Source organism: Homo sapiens, chromosome 15 (genome assembly GCF_000001405.40).
Source record: "Homo sapiens chromosome 15, GRCh38.p14 Primary Assembly".
In the NCBI taxonomy this organism is placed as follows: Eukaryota; Metazoa; Chordata; class Mammalia; order Primates; family Hominidae; genus Homo; species Homo sapiens.
This window is the reverse complement of record NC_000015.10, coordinates 64,009,239-64,028,847: the sequence shown is the minus strand read 5'-3', so window position 1 is coordinate 64,028,847 and position 19,609 is coordinate 64,009,239. Positions and strand designations below refer to the sequence as shown.

The 19,609-nt window shown below is 46.5% G+C and overlaps 1 protein-coding gene across 24 annotated transcripts in view, besides 4 other annotated features; it reads left to right on the top strand.

The window, feature by feature from the left end:
• DAPK2 (death associated protein kinase 2) overlaps window positions 1-19,609 on the top strand; it is a 139,450-nt gene that overhangs the window by 17,638 nt on the left and 102,203 nt on the right. The gene's annotated exons all lie outside the window — the stretch shown is intronic.
• Window positions 2,551-2,716: a silencer, noted in NCBI's record as "fragment chr15:64318331-64318496 (GRCh37/hg19 assembly coordinates)". NCBI's record gives its function as "represses an EF-1alpha promoter that drives an FKBP-Casp9 reporter gene in an ReSE screen in K562 erythroleukemia cells {active_cell/tissue: K562}" and the evidence as "EXISTENCE:reporter gene assay evidence [ECO:0000049][PMID:32094911]".
• Window positions 17,660-17,709: an enhancer, noted in NCBI's record as "active region_9548". NCBI's record gives its function as "activates an Ori minimal core promoter by ATAC-STARR-seq in GM12878 lymphoblastoid cells {active_cell/tissue: GM12878}" and the evidence as "EXISTENCE:reporter gene assay evidence [ECO:0000049][PMID:35858748]".
• Window positions 18,567-18,656: an enhancer, noted in NCBI's record as "active region_9547". NCBI's record gives its function as "activates an Ori minimal core promoter by ATAC-STARR-seq in GM12878 lymphoblastoid cells {active_cell/tissue: GM12878}" and the evidence as "EXISTENCE:reporter gene assay evidence [ECO:0000049][PMID:35858748]".
• Window positions 19,027-19,086: a silencer, noted in NCBI's record as "silent region_6524". NCBI's record gives its function as "represses an Ori minimal core promoter by ATAC-STARR-seq in GM12878 lymphoblastoid cells {active_cell/tissue: GM12878}" and the evidence as "EXISTENCE:reporter gene assay evidence [ECO:0000049][PMID:35858748]".

The window sequence follows — 19,609 nt, the reverse complement described above, 5'->3', positions numbered from 1 at the left end:
CTCTCTCTTTCCCCTTCTCTACCTGCCTCCTTTCCTCCTTCCTTCTTTCCGTCTGTGGGTTATCTGTCTGTCTGTCTGTCTGTCTACCTGCCTACCTACGTATCCATCCATCCTAGTTTCTGAACCATTTGAGAATAGGTTGCAGACATTATGCCTCTTCACCCCTTAATACTTCACTATGGATTTCCTAGTGAAGTATTAAGTACATGGACGTTCTCTTTCATAACTGCTATACAGTTACAAATTCAGGACATTTAATACCAATATAATATTTTTACCTAAGCTATCACTCTTGCTCTAATTTTGTCAATTTTCTTATTAGTGTTCTTTATAGCAGTTTTTCTCCCTACAGTGAAAGACACAGGGCAGGATCATGTGTTGCATCTTGTGGTTATGTCTCTCCAGTCTCCTTTAACTGGGAACAGTCTTTCTTTGACTTTCATGACACTAACATTTTTGAAGATTACTGGACAATTAAAAAATAAATAGGGTCGGGTGCAGTGGTTCATGCCTGAAATCCCAGCACTTTGGGAGGCTAAGGCAGGCAGATCACTTGAGGTCAGGAGTTCAAGACAAGTATGGCCAACATGGCGAAACCCCATCTCTACTAAAAATACAAAAATTAGCCAGGTGTGGTGGCGCACACCTGTAGTCCCAGCAACCTGGGAGGCTGAGGCCAGAGAATCACTTGAACCGCAGAGGTGGAGGTTGCAGTGAGCTGAGATAGCGCCACTGCACTCCAGCCTGGGCAACACAGTGAGACTCCATCTCAAAAAATATAAATAGATAGATAGATAGATAGATAGATAGATAGATACAGTTTATGTACTTCTGCTAACTTCATAATATTCTATCCAGGCATGCCCAATTCAGGTAACTTTCCCCTGTTGTTTCTCACTGCTAAAAATATTGGTGTTTCGGTGAACATATTTGTTTAATTTCCTCTCTGCATTATTTTGGTTGGGTGTATTCCCAGAGGTTGCATACCAGGTCAAAGGTTATGACTGATTTGCTTAATGGTTTAAACTGGAAATAGTGAATCACTTTACAGTGTCATCAGCATGTACTTATTTCCTTGTGGCTTTGCCAATACTCTTTTATTGTTTTTGTGTATTTTTGTTAGTTTATGAATTTTGTAAAGATACATTAACATTTTCACTGTGGGGAAATTTAAAGTAGTTCAAGTTTTCTGTACTTTCCCCTTAATTTCAAACCTTATTCTCTCCTGCACTTTACTTTTCTTCGTGGTGTTTGCATTTCATTTTTATCTTTTCTTTTCTTTTTTTGAGACAGGGTCTTGCTCTGTCACCCAGGCTGGAGGGCAGTGGCGTGATCATGGCTCAGTGCAGCTTCTGACCTCCTTGGGTTCAGGCAATCCTCCCACCTCAGCCTCTTGAGCTGGGACTATGTGCCACCATACCTGGCTAATTTTGGGGTTTTTTTTTTGTTTTGTTTTTTTGTTTTGAGACAGAGTCTCACTCTGTTGCCCAGTCTGGAGTGCAGTGGCATGATCTCAGCTCACTGCAACCTCCACCTCCCAGGTTCAAGTGATTCTCCCGTCTCAGCCTCCCGAGTAGCTGAGATTACAGGCACACACCACTACGCCTGGTTAGTTTTTTTGTATTTTTAGTAGAGACAGGGTTTCACCATGTTGGCTGGCTGGTCTCGAATTCCTGACCTCAGATGACCCACCTGCCTTGGCCTCCCAAAGTGCTGGGATTATAGGCATGAGCCACACCGCACCTGGCCTCATGTTTTATATTTTTTATAGAGACAGGGTTTTGTCATGTTGTCCAGGCTGGTCTTGAACTCCTGGGCTCAAGTGATCTGCCTGCCTTGGTCTCCCAAAGTGCTGGGATTACAGGCGGTGAGCCACTATGTAAGTCATCATTATATTTTCATGGATATTTTGAAGTTCCAATAGCAACACAAGGTAGGTAAGGCCAACATAATAGTTCCCATTTTGTAAGTGATGAAAAGGAGGCTCAGAGACTCTACCCGACCCAGGCCAGTTGGGACTAAATGCAGAGCTCTTCCCTATAGACTGATGGTTTCACTTTCCTTCTCTGAGAAATAGAGTATACATGTCCTTAAGGGACCTGGAACTCCTGCCAAGGGGTCTGCTCCTTTGTCTCTGCTTTTAGAAGCTGGCTCACAGGATTTTCTCAGGAAGTTTTCTGAGAGCGTACCATTTGGCGAAGCAGGTACTTGGGATGGGGAGTGCTTTTGAGAGGGCAAAAGGGAGAGCTTCTGTCCTCCACCTTGCTGGGGAAACCAAAGTGAGGCTTAAGAGGTACCCTATCAGGCTGGGTGCTGTGGCTCACTCCTGTAATCCCAGCACTTTGGGAGGTGGAGGTGGGTAGATAGCTTGAGCCCAGGAGTTTGAGACCAGCCTAGCCAACATGGCGAAACCCTGACTCTACAAAAAATACAAAAATTAGCCTGGTGTGGTGGCATGCGCCTGTAGTCCTAGCTACCTGGGGGGCTGAGGTGGGAGGATTGCTTGAGCCCGGAAGGCAGATGTTGTAGTGAACAGAGTTCATGCCACTGCACTCCAGCCTGGGCAACAGAATGAGAGACTGCCTTAAAAAAAATTAATTAATTAAAAAAAAAGAGTTACCCTATCACCTCAGCTGTAGCAAAGCACCCCAGGGCTCTGGTAGGGCAGGTGGGAGGTCATGTGAGACCCCGGCAGCTTCCAGGGCCTTCCACAGAGGGGATGGCTCAGCCGCCAGCCTCTCTTCTCAAGATTGCCCCTCACCCCCAGTCAGCCGTCCACAGGGTCTAGAACCAGGAACTTTCACCTGCGAGGGCTCCTACATTGTTGAGTGTGGGGCACAGAAAACTATAGCCCTACAGCCAAAATCTGGCCTGCGCCCTGTGTGTGAGTGGCCCTGGAGCTAAGATTGGCTTTTACAGAGGAATGTTTCCAATCAATTTGATGATAGAGAACGCTAACTTTAGACCCCAATTAAGCAAAATGTTATCCATCCCCCGCAATATCCATATTTCCATTCTTTTCATTGGAACAGCTGTATTATAAAAACAAAATAAAACTCAATTATTATTATATTTTGAATTTCATTAATTAATTATTTAAAAACTTTAAAACTTGTGGAAATTCGATTTTCTCCTTTGTTATATAGGTGCCTACATAATATCCTACATTTTGCTTCTTGGCTTGCAATACCTCAAATATTTACCATCTGGTCCTTTGTAGAAAAGGTGGGCTACTCCTGATCTACTCCAGTAGGGTTTACAGCAAAACTGTAAAAGTAATTTATGATGGAATTGGGGTGAAGATGAAAGTGAAGGTGCAGTGTTGGGAAAGGAGGATGCAGCGGTGAGCAGAGGCCAGCTGCCCCTTGCCCTGACATCCTTCCAGGGACTCAGAGCCCTGGGAAGCCCAGAAGCACTGTCCACCTAGGTCAATCCTGCCCTCTTTGGAGTGTGGCTGGGGTAGGAAGAAGGGAAGGGCGCTCTGGATGTTGGGGATCGAGTGTCTCCTCGATACCTGGCCCTGCACTAAGCTCTGAGGTCTGTTACCTGGCTTCATCCTCTTGCAGTCCTATGAGATTATAGGTATTTTTCCCTTTTTACAGATGAGGAAGCTGAATCTTAGAGATTGAACTAACTTACCTTGGTAAGTGTCTGAGCTGGGATTTAAACCTATGACTTCTGAATCCTGGTCCAGTGCTCTCTTTGAAGTACCAAGTTGCCTAGAATTTTCTTTCTGTCTGTGACCCTGGGATCCCCTCCAGAGAACAGGGAAGGTGGTTGTTAATAGTGTCTGGGTCTCTTGGTGGTTTACTGGGGAGCCTGCTGAGAGTCCAGTTGTCCTGTGTCTAATCCATTTCCAGGGCTGGCACTGCCTCCCTGCTCACCTCCACCTCCTTGCTGGCAGCTTCTAACCCTGAGGCCTTAGGACCCTGATCTTGAATCCTGAAACACTGGCCCCTGGTGGCCTGGCCACAGGGCTTGAAGGGTGATGAAATATCCTTCCCTCATTGGGGTGAGGTTTATTTAGCACCCTGGGGGCAGGCCCCACTAGTTGAACTTGACTGCTCAGGGCTGTGGTGTGGCTCTAGTTGGTGAAGCATTCCTCCCTGTCTATGTTTTGCAGGCTAAGAGACAAGATGGACTGGGCAGAGGGGAGAAGGGCAGTGGAGAGACCCAGGCAGAAGGATAGGCTCAGGGCGGGACAGCCTGGCAGTGACTGTTCTGGGCACTGGAATCACCAGGTCCAAGTCTGATCCTGGCTCTGCCACTGTGAGCTCCTTGGTGCTTTGCACTCATAGGCTCTGTTTCTTCATCGTAAGATGGTTGCTATCTCATGGGGTTGTTGAAATACCACATGTGGAATCTGAGTCTCCACTTTTCCAGCTTTCTGGGGTCTCTGTCCTTTAATGTCCGAATAAGAATAAGCATTCCATTCCAGGCAACAGGAAGTCCTGTTCCCCAACCCAGGCTTTCTGAGCCTCCCCAGGGCATGCTCACATCTTCCTCCATGCCCTAGGCCCTTGCAACTCGAGGATCACTTTCCTCCTTCGAGACAAGGCTGCACCTCCTCTGTGATCTTGAAGTCTCAGGCAAGGACCCTGGCCCATTTCTGAGTCCCTCCCTTGCCACTGAGACTGGTTGAAGGATGAATTGATTTTCACCTAAGGCTTGGGGTTGATGAGAGGAATTGCTGCACAGAGAAGGAAATGGCTTAAAGTTGGGTAACAAAACCTCTGCTTCTTTGACTTCTGACCTCTGCCATGATACCAGGGTCTTCCAGGACCCCAGCCTAGGCCCCAAATCTGCTACCATTCTTTTTACTTAACCGCGCAAGGTAGACTCCCCTTTTCTTTCAGATAGGCAGTTAAACTCCTTGTTGCAGCACCTCCCTGATTGGACCCCAGGCCTCTCTTTTGCAGAACCAAAGGTCCTTTAAAGTTTTTCTTAAACAAAAAGCCATCTCTGACCCCCGCACGATGCAGTCTTCCGCCTCCTGTAGCAGATGGTAACGGCTTTGAGCAGCTTTTTAAAATAGCACCTTTTCCATTCCTGCCACAGATGTAAGGGACATAGCGTGGCACGTGGGAAGTGTCCAGCAAATGGCCGTAGATAGCAACATCATTTCCTTAAAGGCCCAGTGGTCATCAGTTGATTTGAAGAGTTCACAGGGAGGAGTTGCAGTGAGGCCCTGGCATCAGTATTTTTTATATGCCCCAGTTTGAGCAGAATGTGCAACTGGATCCACCATCAGTTCTTCAAAATGGTACTTGAGACACATCAGAGGCTCTCAGAGCTGTTAGTTTATTCCTTTCCTCCCTTGATTGAGTGAGTTGGTTTATTATCCTCTGTCCCAGCTCTGTTAATTCTCTCTCTTTGCCTTTGCTCATGTTAGACTCCTGCTGGGATCTGCCCTTCCCCCACCGTGTGTGTGTACCACACCCAACAGTGACTCCACAAGCCAATTCCTTTATGGCTTCTAGGTTTACTTCCCACTAATAGGTGTATCCTTTCAGTGGCCACCTTTTCCTTAGAGTCCTATGCTCATCTAGGTCTCACCCATGCATTGAGCCCTACTCAAGTTCTGCTTCCTCCCAGAAGCCTGCCCTGACTACTGCAGGCAGGGTTGGGCGAGCCTGTTCTGTGTTCCCACAGCATGTTGTGGATATCCCTGCTGTCACTCTTTGCCTTAGAGTCAGCTTCCACCCTCCTCCACATCGCCCCTTGACAAAGAGAAGAGACTCTGTAAACCCTTGCTGAATGAAGGATGAGTAAGTTAAGATGGCAGCAACTAAAAGAGAAGGTAAAGAGATGGTGAGGATTGTATACTGGTACCTACAGTGAGTCTCCTAGCACTTTTGCCAGAAAATTTCTGGCAGAGATACCCTAAGGGAGTTTGGAAAGAGTCATTTCTCATCATGCTATCTTAGAATTTAGACTGGAAGGGCCCCAAGATATCATCTGTCTAACCCCCTTTGAGGGACTGTGCGCTCTTTTAGGGCTTGAGCTAGAATACACACACACAAGTATTCTTCACTTGGTCTCACTCTGTCACCCAGGCTGGAGTGCAGTGATGTGATCTTGGCTCACTGCAACCTCTGCCTCCTGGGCGCAAGAGATCTTCCCCCTTCAGCCTCCTGAGTAGCTGGAACTATAGATGCACATGACCACACCCAGCTAATTTTTTGTTATTTTTTTGTAGAGACGGCATCTCACCATATTGCCTAGGCTGGTCTTAACCTTCCGGGCTCGAGTGTTCACCCGCCTCAGTCTCCCAAAGTGCTGAGATTACAGGTTTGAGCCACCATGCCCATGGGATTGTGAACTCTTTAGGATCATTTAAACATTTTAAGTGGTCAGTTCTTTACGGAAGTAGTCACCATGCACAAGGGAACTTGTCTATTGGGTGAAGTGAAGAATACTTGTATGTATCCTAGCTCAAGCCTTAATTCCGGCTAATGCTCTCTTTAGGAAGCTCTTCTCAGAAAAAAGTCTAGGAAACCTTTGCCTAATGCTTTGAAGAAAATGACTGTTAACAGAGAAAATAACCTAAACTATTTAAATGTTAATAATTGCAGGTGCTCTTTTAGTAATAACAGTGTTGTACATTTCCTTTTGTCTCTGTGAGATCACCCAGTAGCCACTACCTGTAGCATTGCCAAGATTAGCTCCCTTGTTGATACTAACCAGCATTTGGATGGTTACCCTAGGAAAATTGTACTCTATGCCTGTGGTTTGTGTTTCTAATATGTTTCCCTTCCCTTTTTGTTACCCTGCTTTCCTCTTTGCAAGGTAAGTGCTTCCAGACCAACGTCTAGGCCATCTCCACCCTATCCAGTGTCTGATACAGAGTCAGGAAAGTGGCTGGCAGATTAAACTGAGTGATGTGACCAACTTAGTCTCATTGCTTTGCCCACTCTGCTGTCCAAACTTACCTCCCAATACTTCCAAGCTTTCTCCTCTCTAGCTGCTTAGTCCAAGCCTTTTTATAAGATGTTCTTTTCCTCCTTCCTGTCTCTTCTTGTCTTCCACTTAACTAATTGTACTTAGCTCTCAAGTCCAGTGAAAATACTTCCTCTCCCTCTGGGGCCTTCCCATGGGTTCTTCCTTCCAGCCCCATCTATCCCTCCAGCTTTGAGCATCCATAGCCCTTAGTATCTGTGCCTCTTACACAATTACTCCAAAGTAGAAGGTTCTCTGGGGATTCATTCTGTATTTCAAGCCAGATTGTGAGCCCATTGAAGACGGGGCCACATTTTATCCTTCTTTGTGTCCCTTCCACCTCTAGCATATGGCTGGATCCACAGTAGGCACTCAACGAGCACAGGGGCTGGTAAAGCCATCAGCTGTGCTTAGCCAGCTTTGAGGCCCCAAGGGCGCTGAGCTTGTGTTTACAAGCCCAGGAGAAGGTAGAAATTCAGCAGCAACAATTTCATCAAGGCCCTGTTCACATGAGCTTCTTTGTTTTCTTGTCTGGAGGGGGTGGGGCAGGGGAACAGACCAAGTGTGCAGAGCTGCTTGACATCCCAGCAACTGTACGGAATGCTCACTCGCGCTCCCTTTCATGTGCCAGAGTCGTCCCACATCGCAGTATCATCCTGTGCTGACGTGAGCCTGGGGGCCGCTGTCCTGTTCCTCCCGAAAGTGACTGAGACTGAACCCCACTGAAGTGCCTACTTCCAGGAGAAGATGCCAGGGCTTCCCCTTGTGGGTAGGGTCTGATCTCTACTGAGGGGAAAGATGAAGGGAAATTCTGTTGCCATAGATGTTCTAGATCAGGGTTGTGGCTTTCTTTAAGGCTAATGATAAGAGGGGTAGAAAGACTCATCTGTGGCATCTGGCCCATCGCCACGGACTTGGAGTAAAGAACTTGCTTCATATCCCACTTTGGCTACCAATACGTTAATGCACCTGGGCAAGGCACTTTCTGTCTCTGGGTCACAAGGCATTTTGGTGGCAGAAGTGAGACCTGAATGTGGGTCTTTGCACTCCAGGTCCTTTGCCCTTTCCATTACTCCATAGAAACACTGTAGGCATTTGGTATCACACCAAGTTACCTATCCTTTCCCTTTTGATTTATTCCTTCTAGTACCTGAGGTGCTTTTGGGAACAGGGACTTTCTTTAGAGGCCTGCTGTCAAGGGGCTACCCTGACGTCATTCCATGATTCTCCTACATTTCCTTTCTATAAATATTTTTCTTTAAGCCTAGATTTCTTTTCGCTATCAAATGGGTGTGTCTCTTTTGTCAACTATAAATCCTTCCCAGAGGAGATGGGCAAAGTAGTGCTGCTTTGGTGAAGCAAGCGATACCTTTCCATAGCTGGTGCTTAATAAAAATATGTGATATGAATGAATAAATGACAGCAAGAGGCAAGAGAATTGATGATGCCATGGTATCACCTTAATCATTACTGCAAGAGAACATGCCACTCTTGGGGAAGACCCCTGTGAAATTGACCATTTCAGAGCAAGTGCCCAGTTTCCAGTCCTGATGAAATGGGTTCTATCCCCCACTGCCTTCTCAGCTGTTTCTTCATGTTGATGCATTCAACAAGGTAGTGCAATAAGAGTGTGCTGGCGTGGGAGAGAAAGGGGTCCTGGCTTTGGCTCTGGAGCTGCCTGTGCTTAGGCAAGTCCTCAGTTTCCTTTCCCCCATCTCTAGCATATAAGTGCCTTCTGGCACTTAGTGTCCTGCAACTTCATGATTATGTGAAGTGTTCTTACTGGGCCATGGGCTGTCTACTCAGCTGGGGCAGGAATCACTCATCTAGAGCCATGGCTTATGGCACAGTAAAGCCTGCGGGTGCCACTGAGACTGCTTCTGCTGAGATTAGACACAGTGGTTTGGCACCAAGTCTGTGACCAGTGCCTGTTTTTAGCAACATGGCTAGTAAATATTGACTCTGTGGCATGAAAATGGAAAGCAGAGATGACTATGTCAACTCACTCAGAGGATAGAAGTTCACCAACCTCTGATAAGATGTAGTTATACAACGCATAGGTGTGTCACTAATAAATAAGTTGTTTGGGGGCAGGGAGAATGGAAAACAAGACAAGGAAGCATTCCATGGGCAATTAACAGCTGCTTTCCTGTCTGCACTGTCTGGCTGGCTTATTCATTTGTTCGCTTTAAAATGAATGGATACTTACATACACACTGGCATGTAGGAAAAAAAGGCTAGAAAGAAATACACCGAAGCATTCACTGTGGCATTCTCTAGAAACAGTGAAATTGCCACAGATTTGTACTTTCATATACTTTTTCTGTTTTCCTCATGGTCTACAATGAGCACATATTACTTTTATAATCTGAAAAGGACAATGTATTAGACATAAGATAATTCTTTCTGAAGAGTCTGAAGGAACTTTCAGAATCATGCAAGTACCTTAGACCTTTGTGTTTTGCCTACTGGACACTGGGTAGTACCGTAGTTATCAAAAGAGAAAAGTCCATGTAAGAGAAGCTACTCTTCCGAATAAATCCTGATCTAAGTGTGTTCACTGATTTATATCCATAAAAGCAGATGTGGTGGGAAAATATTGCAATCATATAAGATTTCAGAATTTTTTTCTGTGTAAACAGACACTTAACTGCTTTGAGTGCATTCTGTAATTCACAGCAGCTAGCTCCGCTTGGCCCAGAGGTGGGCAGGTCTGAGACAGGGCACTCTGGTAAATGGTTGCTTGTGACCTGAAGGTGGGAGCAATCAGTTCTGGAGGATTGACTAGACTTCAGGATTTGGAATGTTGGGGTGGGGATGGGGGTGAGAATGGCGTTATAATAATAATTACCACTGGTTAAGCACCAACCATACACCAGGCACCATCCACATATTGTTATAACCTTACAAAGCCTTATTGGACAGGCATTAGCCACCTTTTAGGGAGGAGGAAACCAAGGCCAGGAGAAGTCACTTCTCTAAATCCTCAGAGGCAGTCAGCAGCAGGCCCTGGACTCAAACCTGGCCTCAAAGCATTTGCTCTTTCTACCATGCTAGGGTGTCTCTCAGAGGGTTCAGAGTTTTGCAACAGAAAACAGAAACTGCTAAAGGGAGCCTGAGCTAACAAATAAGGTACATGCGTCTCCATCCAGGACTGAGGACCTTTGGAGTAAGAGGCAGCCCCAGGTGTAAAAGCTGGGCGAGTAGCTACAGGTAGGATCCTGGCCTTGTTAGCCCTGAATCCAGGACTGGGTGTGTCTGCCTTCCTCAGCCTGGTGCAACCTAGAGGGGCCAGGTGGCCTGGGTTGTGGGACCCAGAGAACCACGGGACAGGTGGCCATTTCCAGTCTGGGAGGGACTTTCATCTGCTGGCTGCCTATGTGATGGGGGAGGCCATTTGTTGCGGGGCAGGGAGTTGGAGTGTGGGGTTGTGGCATCCAGGCCTGTGGGTGAAGAGGAGTTGGTCTCTCACCTTCTTCGTACCTGGTTGATTAAAACAACCAGTAAAAGAGTCTTAAGGCTGTTTAGCTTTTTCGCTGGGTTAGTAGAGCTAATTTCTGAGTCTGAGGCAGCAGTTGCTTCCTTGGGCTCACAGGTCCTGTCCTCACAGCCCTTGGGACTGGCCAAGTGCTGATTTCTTCCACCTCCACTGGAGATCTGTCTACCTGCAAACCGTCATTTGAGAATGCTTGTCTGCCCGCCTCACCAGGGAACCAGGGGCCTGCTCTCTGAGAATGAATGCCTCAGAGTTGGGTTTCATCAAAGTTGGATTTCACTTAATTTCTTAAGAGAAAGGATGTATGTTTTGGGGGAGAGGCCAAATTGTGGTGTGTGGTGTTTTTAAAAAATGACTTTTTTGGGCCAGGCAGCTGAGTTGATTGAAGCCCAGCAGTACCCATTATAGAAATGGCTCATCTTGTGGTTCTCTAGAGTCGTGCCTTGAATATTTTTGGTCTCCTGGCAAAGGCATATAGGATTTTGCAATTTTATGGAGCAGGTTTCAAAGTTACAGGAATTGCAAGGAGCAGTGGTGTTTGTCCTCTCCTCCTTCTCCGGGAGTCTGTATTCCTCTGAGGCTCAGGCCAGTGTGGCTGCTTTTCAACACAATGGGAATCATTGTAATAATCACCTGAATTTGTACAGAACTGTACAGTTGACAAAGCACATTGCCATGCATTGTCTGTTTCAATGCTCATGGCTACATTTCTAGTTAGGCAGGGATAATTGACTATTTTTTACAAAAGAGAAAACCGAGGCTTGGAGATGTTAAGTGGCCTGGAGACACAGCTAGGAAGAGGCAGCATCATAGTTGAGTCAAGGCTTTCTGACTCCAGACCAGCGAAAGCAGGGAGGTTTGCACCTGTTAAGGTGTGGACCTGCCCGTGTCCTGGAATGCGGCTCTCTAGGCACAGGGAGATGCAAGCACCTTGAGACCTGACTGTGACTGTCCTAGGCCCAGCAGAGCCACCTCGGTGGAGGGTTGGACAGCCTTTGAGGTGCAGGTGGGGCTTCGTGTGGTGCTTTGCTCTCTTCCTATGCCTTCCTTGGCTGTTGTCTATTTGGTCTTTACAACTGCCCTGTGAGGCAGCAGGGTAGATAGACACTATTAGCTGCATTTTATAGATGAGGGAACTGATGTTTCAAGAGGTTAGGTGACTCACTCAACATCATGTATTCATTAGTCACAAAACAAATATGTATTAGGTGCCTACTGAAGGTACCTAGGGGACTGAGGTCACAGCCAGTGTCTGGAGAAGAAGAGACTTGAAGGCAAGTAAGAAAAGGGAACACAGTAGGTCCCTAGAACTCCCTGCTGAGTGAGAGCCCCCAAGGACAGCCCCAACATTGTGGATCTCTTTGTATCCACAACAGCAATGAGAACAAGTTGGGCTTAGGCCAGTGTTCTAGAAAAACTTTGTCATGATGTAAATAATGGTGATGAAAATTCCTGCCATTTATTGTGCTCCTGTTGTATGCAGGCCATATGCTGGGCATTTTACATGTCCGTCCTTCCTTCCTTCCTTCCTTCCTTCCTTCCTTCCTTCCTTCCTTCCTTCCTTCCTTCCTTCCCTCCTTCCTTCCTTCCCCTTCCCCTTCCCCTTCCCTTCTTTCTTTCCTCCTTTCTTTCTTCTCTGCCACCCAGACTAGAACTCAGTAGCATAGTCATGGCTCATTGTGGCCTTGACCTCCTGGGCTCAAGCGATCTTCCCACTTCAGCCTCTGAAGCGGCTAGGACTACAAGCATGAGCAAACATGCCCGGCTAATTTATAAATATTTTGTAGAGACAGGGTCTTGCTACTTGCCTAGGCTGGTCTTGAACTCCTGGCCTGAATCAGTCCTCCTACTTCAGCCTTCCAAAGTGTTTGGATTAGAGGCTTGAGACATTGCACCCAGCCTATGCTATTTCTAACTGTCACAATAACCTTGCAAGGCAGCGATTATTTACCCCACTTTACAGATGAGAACACTGAGGCTCACTGAGGGCAAATCACTCATATCCCAAGTCACCCTGGGATTAAAATCCATGTCTCTTTGGCTCCAAAGCCAGAACAATTTCCACTGAACTACACTGCCTCTCTGTGATAATGGACTCTAAGAAACTTGCTGGAGAAGGATAGTGCCAGTTACTTTGGGAAACTCATGGATAAGGGGGGTCAGGTGTGGAAGGTGCTGGAGAGGTGGACAGGACCATGGCTGTGGGCAGAGAATCTGTAAGAGGCCGTGTGTCCTGCTGGTGGCGGCAGTACCTGAGAGAGAGGAGGACTTTCCTGCTTATGGCCATGCTGACCTGCAGTCCCCTGGAGCCAGCCCTCCCTGCGCTGCGTGGGCCCTGAAGAGCAGAGGCTGCTTTGTCCTCTCGGATGCTTTCCTGAAGAACCCAAGCCTTCCTCCCTATGCCCCCTTTCCCTGCTGTGTTAGTTTGCTGGGGCCTCCATAACAAATGGCCACAAACTGGGTGGCTTCAAACAACATAAATTTATTCTCTCCCAGTTGTAGAGGTCGGAAGTCCAAAATCAAGGTGTCAGCAGGGTTGATTCCTTGGGGAGGCTCTGAGACAGAATCAGTTCCATACCTGTCTCCTAGCGTCTGGTGGCTGCTGGTGATCCTTTGTGTTCTTGGCTTGTAGACACATCACTCCAATCTCTGCCTCCATCTTCATGTTGCTTTCTCCCTGTGTGTCTCTGTGAGTTCTCTTCTGTCTAATCTCTGCCTGCCTCACTCTTATGGCATCTGTCATTGGATTTGGGGCCCACTCAGGTAATCCAGAATGATCTCATCTTAAGATCCATAAATTAATTACATCTGCAAAGGCCCTTTTTCCAAATGAGGTCATGGTCACATGTGCCAGGGGTTAGAATATGGAAATATATTTTAGGGAGCCACTATTCAACCCACTATGACTGCCCACCCCTGTTTCTTCTTGGAGTTGCATGAGAACTTTGGGGGTCAATCCACTCACTGCAGGCTGGGCACTGAGCTGACAGCAGCTGCCTCTACTCTGCCTATAGCAGTGCCCTGAGTGTTGTGGTCAAGTGGTCTCGATCCTTTAGACCTTTAGGCAATGGGAAGACCTTATATAAAGAGCTCACAGAGCAGCTCTGGGATTAGCTACTTTTGAACGTCAGAGTGGTAATTCCCACCTCGAACATGCTGTCGTTGTCCTGTGTGGCATAAGCAAGAGAGAGGCTGTCCTTGGCATGGCAGGGCCCTGTGGGTCAGCCAGGCTGTTTGTTCTCCTGCCAGACTGCAGCTGGCACAGACTCCTGACCACACGGTACCCTTTCCTGCTGCCTTACATTTACTTAACACTGCAGAATCTGTTCTTCTCTCCTCTTCTGTCCAGATCTCCCTCCCCATCATTCCCTGCCCACCTCCTCTTAGCATTCTTCCTTACTGCATGCCTCTTGGCTATCAACGCATCTGGTACTTTATCTGTCCTCCCTCCTTCAACAATGTCAGAATGTTTTTTTTTTTTTTTTGAGATGGAGTCTCGCTCTTTCACCCAGGCTAGAGTGAAGTGGCTCTATTTCACGATTTCAGCTCACTGCAACCTCCACCTCCCAGGTTCAAGTGATTCTCCTGTCTCAGCCTCCCAAATAGCTGGGATTACAGGTGCCCACCACCATGCCCAGCTAATTTTTGTATTTTTAGTAGAGACGGGGTTTCACTATGTTGACCAGGCTGGTCTCGAACTCCTGACCTCAGGTGATCCACCTGCCTTGGCCTCTCAAAGTGTTAGGATTACAGGCGTGAGCCACCAAGCCCAGCCAGGTCTTATTTTTGTGTAATAATATTAACTCTTCTGAGGGATCAGGCCTTGTTTTTCCAGTTAGATGTAAGCCCCCCTGCAGTACCATGCAGTCTTTGGTAAACACCTGTCAGTGCCTCCTTGGCTGCTCAACTGGCATAGGAAAGTGTTTGGTCTTGTCTCCTCTCTGTTCCTAAATCATTGGGTGATTTTGAACAAGTGACCTACTCCCAGGGTTTTCATTTCTTCCTGTGGAAAGCCAGAATGTTGGACTATCGGATACTATCAAAGGTCCTTTTCAGGCAGAACACTGTGTGATTGTCCCAACAGCTCTCAGGTCTCTGAAGGCTCATGTCTGATAAGGCCAGGGCCTGGACCAACATAAATGTTCTCCTTGTGGCCAAGGTAGGGTCAGAGATCCCATTCCCTGATCCTGGTCCCAGCAGTGCTGCCTCCGCAGGTAGTATTCCTAAAAACCCAAACTGCAGGATGGACCATGCTTTTCCCTGTAAAGCATTCTCTGTGATAACCCCATTTCCCAAGGATCAGGTTCTCCGTGGGTAGGTGAAGTCCATCTGGGAGCCTAGTTAGAGGAAAACCAAGTAGATAAACACTTGACCTGTGTTGGTGCAACCTCAGCAAGGCCTCTGGCAGCCTAGCCTCCTGGCCAGAACCCTGGCTAGAAGGTGTTTCTTTCTGGCACAGCTGCCAGCCACACCCAGAGAAGGTTGGGGCCTCTCCCATTTTCTAAGTGAAATGACTAATTAGTCCTGAAGCAGGAGATTTCTATCTGCTCATAATGGCATCATGATTTATTCATGTGAGGCTGGACCACTTACAGGGACTGGTCCCATGTTTCCTCTGGCTTTGATGTGATATGAGGCCAACTGTAGTTTTCCAGAATGAATAATTTCTCAAATCCAGCTTGCTTTCTCAGTCACCGCTGCCAGGAAACCTATAACTCTGTTCACTTAATAGCACCCTCCTTCCCAGGTCTGCAATCATTTTAGAAGGAATGCATTCTTATCTGGCGCTCAGTTCCTTCTCTGGCAATGTGAGGGTTAGGCTAGATGGTATCTCAGGGCCTTTCTAGCCCTTAGGTTTTTCTACTTTTAAAGTTCTTGCCCCTTCTCCTCATGTTTTCTTAAGGTATTTGCTTCCATAGGACTGAATGCAAGGTAATCAGAGACATAGCTGTTGAAAGCTTCTCTCCTGGTTTCACTTTTCTGCCCAATTACTAAGTCTTAAAGGCACGTAGTGTAGTTTAAGCTGTTAGTTCCTGGCCTCTTAAGACTGCCCACATTCACTTAATGTCTTGTGACTTGCAGCCTCCCAGCTTAAAATCTCAGTAATGAAGAACAAGATCTTAACCCTTGTATAAAGATAATGGCAGGTTACCCCATTTCCATAATCCCATGCAGAACAAGGGAGTTAGACTGGTCTCATTTTACAGAACAACCAAAATGTTATTGTGACTGCTTTGTGCACATGCACCGTGAAATGAGTCGGCTCTTTAATGATTTGGTTGCCACCTTATGGGTTGTCTGGGGGTCTGGGGTGGCAGGGGTCTCAGGCCTCCTTTCAGGGACTAGGCTAGTAGGGACTGACATAGTTTTGCTTCTGTGAATTCTTTCTTGTCTGTTTGACATTATGATCATATCGAAGATACAATTTATATCCCATTTCCCTATTTATGTTGTAGTGTAAACATTTTACAGTCATTCCCTATATAAATATATTCATTGGCTATGCAGTGCCCCAGATAGAATGCTTAACATGATCATGTTTAACTTGTATAGTTAAGAAAGAAAATCAGTTAATAACAAAATCAAATAGTGCATTTAAAAGTTCCCTCCCACCATCCTCCTGAACCTCTCTAGTCCTATTCCTCATAAGTGATCATTAAGTTTCTTGTATATCCTTCCAGAAATTGTCAATGCATATATGAACATACATATGCATAGTCTATATTTTCAAAAAGGTAGAACAGACTATATACACAGATGGGATCAGAATGTTGTTCTGTAACTTTGTATTTTAATCTTGTGTATTTTCCCAGATCAGGTATGTGTATCTTTTTAAAAGCTGCATAGACCACCTGTTATGGATGGACCATAATTAATTTAAGCAGTACCGTCTTGATAGACATTTAGGTTGTTGCTGAAATGCGCATCTTTTTACATACATCTGCATACCTCATTTACTCATCTGCTGTCTGCCAAGTATGGTTCTAGGCACTAAGGATTTAACTGTAAACAAGACAAACTCTTGTGTCACCCTTGTACTGGTAAAATTGTCAGATAAATTCTGGAAAATGGAATTGTTAGTGCATCGATTTATCACATTTCTTGAATGCATGTGGCATATAAGCCACGTAGACTATTTTACTGAATGTTTGATAAATCAGTGGATGTTCTCCCATCCCGCAGTATGGTCACCTCTTTCCAGCCTCTCAGTGGTTAATGGGTCATGTATTGAGGCTTCAGGAAGGTTGCTGCAGCAGTGAGGGGTAGTGACAGTCAGTAATGTATGTTTGCCAGGACTTTTAAGATTCCTTATGGTACAGCTTTGCAGTGTGTTCTTGCAACTGTGTGAGGAAATCAGAGTGGCTGGTCTGCACTTTACGGAAGGAACTGACACACAGAGAGATCAAGGCTGGGGGGCTGGAAAAGACTCATTACTTTCCATGAAGGTGGCTGGTGGCCAAGCTGGGCTGAGGGCCCAAGAAGAGGGGTTTTGCTTCCTGGGACTTCTTTAAGTGGTCCTTGGAATTTCTCCCACTTAGAGTAAAGCATGTGCAAACTGGAGGAGCAGTTTTATTTTTTCACTTACTATATGGAGACAGAGTTCTCAAGGACTTGCATTTCATGAATTCAGTTAGAGCTGCATTGTCCAATGTGGTAGTCACCAACAACATCTGACTGCTTAAATTTAAATGTAATTAAAAATAAGTAAAATTGCAAATTAGTTTCTCAGTTGTACTATCCACATTTCGAGTGTTCAGTAGCCACACGTGGCTAGCAGCTACCACATTAGACAGCACAGATATAGAACATTTTCATTATCCAAGCATCAACCTGGAGTGTATAAGGCTGTAGCGTTGTTTTTCTCCTAAACACTTCCACAAACACTTGAGTGTTTTGAGTCTAGGCTCACTGCAGCTTCCGCCTCCTGGGTTTAAGCGATTCTCCTGCCTCAGCCTCCTGAGTAGCTTGGATTACAGGTGCCCGCCACCATGCCTGGCTAATTTTTGTATTTTTAGTTAGAGATGGGGTTTCATCATGTTGGCCAGGCTGGTCTGGAACTCCTGACCTCCAGTGATCCACCCACCTCGGCCTCCTAAAATGCTGGGATTACAGGTGTGAGCCACTGTGCCCAGCTTGAGATCATCTTTACTCTCTAACTTTTAGGGAAAAGAGGCTCACAGGCAAGAGGTGACTTGGTGCCAGAAGTCACGTAGTTGGGGGTGCAAAGCCACAAGCACAGCCAATCCTCCACCTGTGTTTTTTCCACTCCAACCTGAGCTGTTGATCCTGATCCTTTGCATATGGCTTTATCTGTTCCATTGTCCTGCCTTTATGCTAATCTGGAGGGTTCAGATTGGGTGCCTACCATGAGTGGGGCCCTCTGCCAAGTAGCTCTGGGTCTGTGTTGTTGCTATGTCCCCAGACAGGAGACCACAGAATGAGTCAGCCACCTCCACATGGGGTTGCTGGTGCCCTGCAGATTCTGCCCCAAGACTGACGGCTTCCCTGTGAACCCTCTTGTGATGCGGTCAGGACATGCATCAACAGTTTATAAACAAGATTACAGGAAGCTCGGCTGCTGTTCTACACACAAACCCACCCCACCCACTGACATGCAGAGCTGGGACAGGTGCTGAAGAATGAGTCCATGGGAAGCTTGTCTTCATGAATGGGATAAAACCCAAGCTGGTAGCAGACTGACCCATTGTTTTCCGAAGTGGGGATGGGTAGACAAATGAGAGACCAAAACTGCAGTAGGGGCTCAGAACAATTAAAGTGCCAACTCTGAAAATCAAGACATTAAGGCAGGCGGGTGGGGACTTTGCCTGAAGTGGTCAGCTGGGATTTGGGAGTGATGAGAAATAACTGGTTTGAGGCTGAGAGACAAATGTAGGGATCATCATCACATTGAAAAAGCCAAGAATGCGGATCCCCATGCCTATACCTATGCTGATAACTTCTTGCTCCTGAAAACTGTAGTTGGGAAAGTTGGCAGAGGACACTAAGCAGTCAATACTGTTGTTATATTATTACTATTGTTATTGAGAGTAGTAGTAAACAGAAAGACATAAGTTAAAAATGATATTTATAGGCCGTCTTTAGAGATAGAAGAAACTGAACCTTCTGGCATACCAGGATATTCCTGTTGCGTGAGAACTCGTGGTTCTCAAACTTTGGTGGGCATTAGAATCCTCAGAGGGCTTATCAAACCACAGATGCTGGGCCCCACCCCCAGAGTTCCTGACTCTGTGGGTCTGAGCTTAGGGCCTGATAATTTGCATTTCTGACAGGTTCCCAGATGATCCTGATCTTACTGGTCTCGGGTCACACTTTGAGAAACACTGGTTTATACCATCAGGTGCTACAGAGAACTCAGTTTGTTTCAGTGGCATAGGTTTACAATTCTAAGGCCCTTTGACAAACCCTCTTACCCACAGCCCAACTGTGCTGGCTGCCTAGAACAAGCCTTTGTGCCACTGGAAACTGCTTTTGTCGTTACTCATCATGACTGTGTTTCAGATTTTTAGTGCTAACCACCTCGAAGTCTTGAGCTGCTGTAAGGTGCCTCTCTTACAGTGGGTGTGGTGGGTCACACAGATGAAGTGTAAGACATTGCCCTGCCCTTAACAGATTAACCTAATTTAGGGGCGGGGGGAAAGGCAAACACAGTAAAGAAATGAGCATAAAGAGACAATTAAGTGTACTGAACTTTAGGAGCTAACATATTCCAAGGTGAGGATTCCTGGGGGGTGGCATGGTCAGGGAAGACTTCCAGGAGGAGCTGGAACTTGAACTTAAAACAGGAGTAGCATTTGGGTAGGCAGACGACCTCCTAGTTTAGGCAAATAGGGCTAGCAGAAACCCAGAGGTGGAAATGAGTGTGTTGGGGTGTGTCTGCTGGGAAGCAGAGTACATTTGGGCAAGTAGAATGAGGCTAGGTGGTGAAAGGCCCCTGGGGCCTGGCCAAGGAGCTCAGGCTTGATGGGAAGGAGAAAATAATCTTGAGCAGAGAACATGATGATGTCTGCGTTGTAGGACAATATACTGGGGAATGTGGGGTGTGGATTGGGTGTGTGGGTGGAGGGCTGAAGACAGCAACACTGATCAGGAAGCTGTACTAAGTGTTGGTCTGTAAAAGTCTAGCTCAGGAGGATGGCAGGTAATGAAGAGATA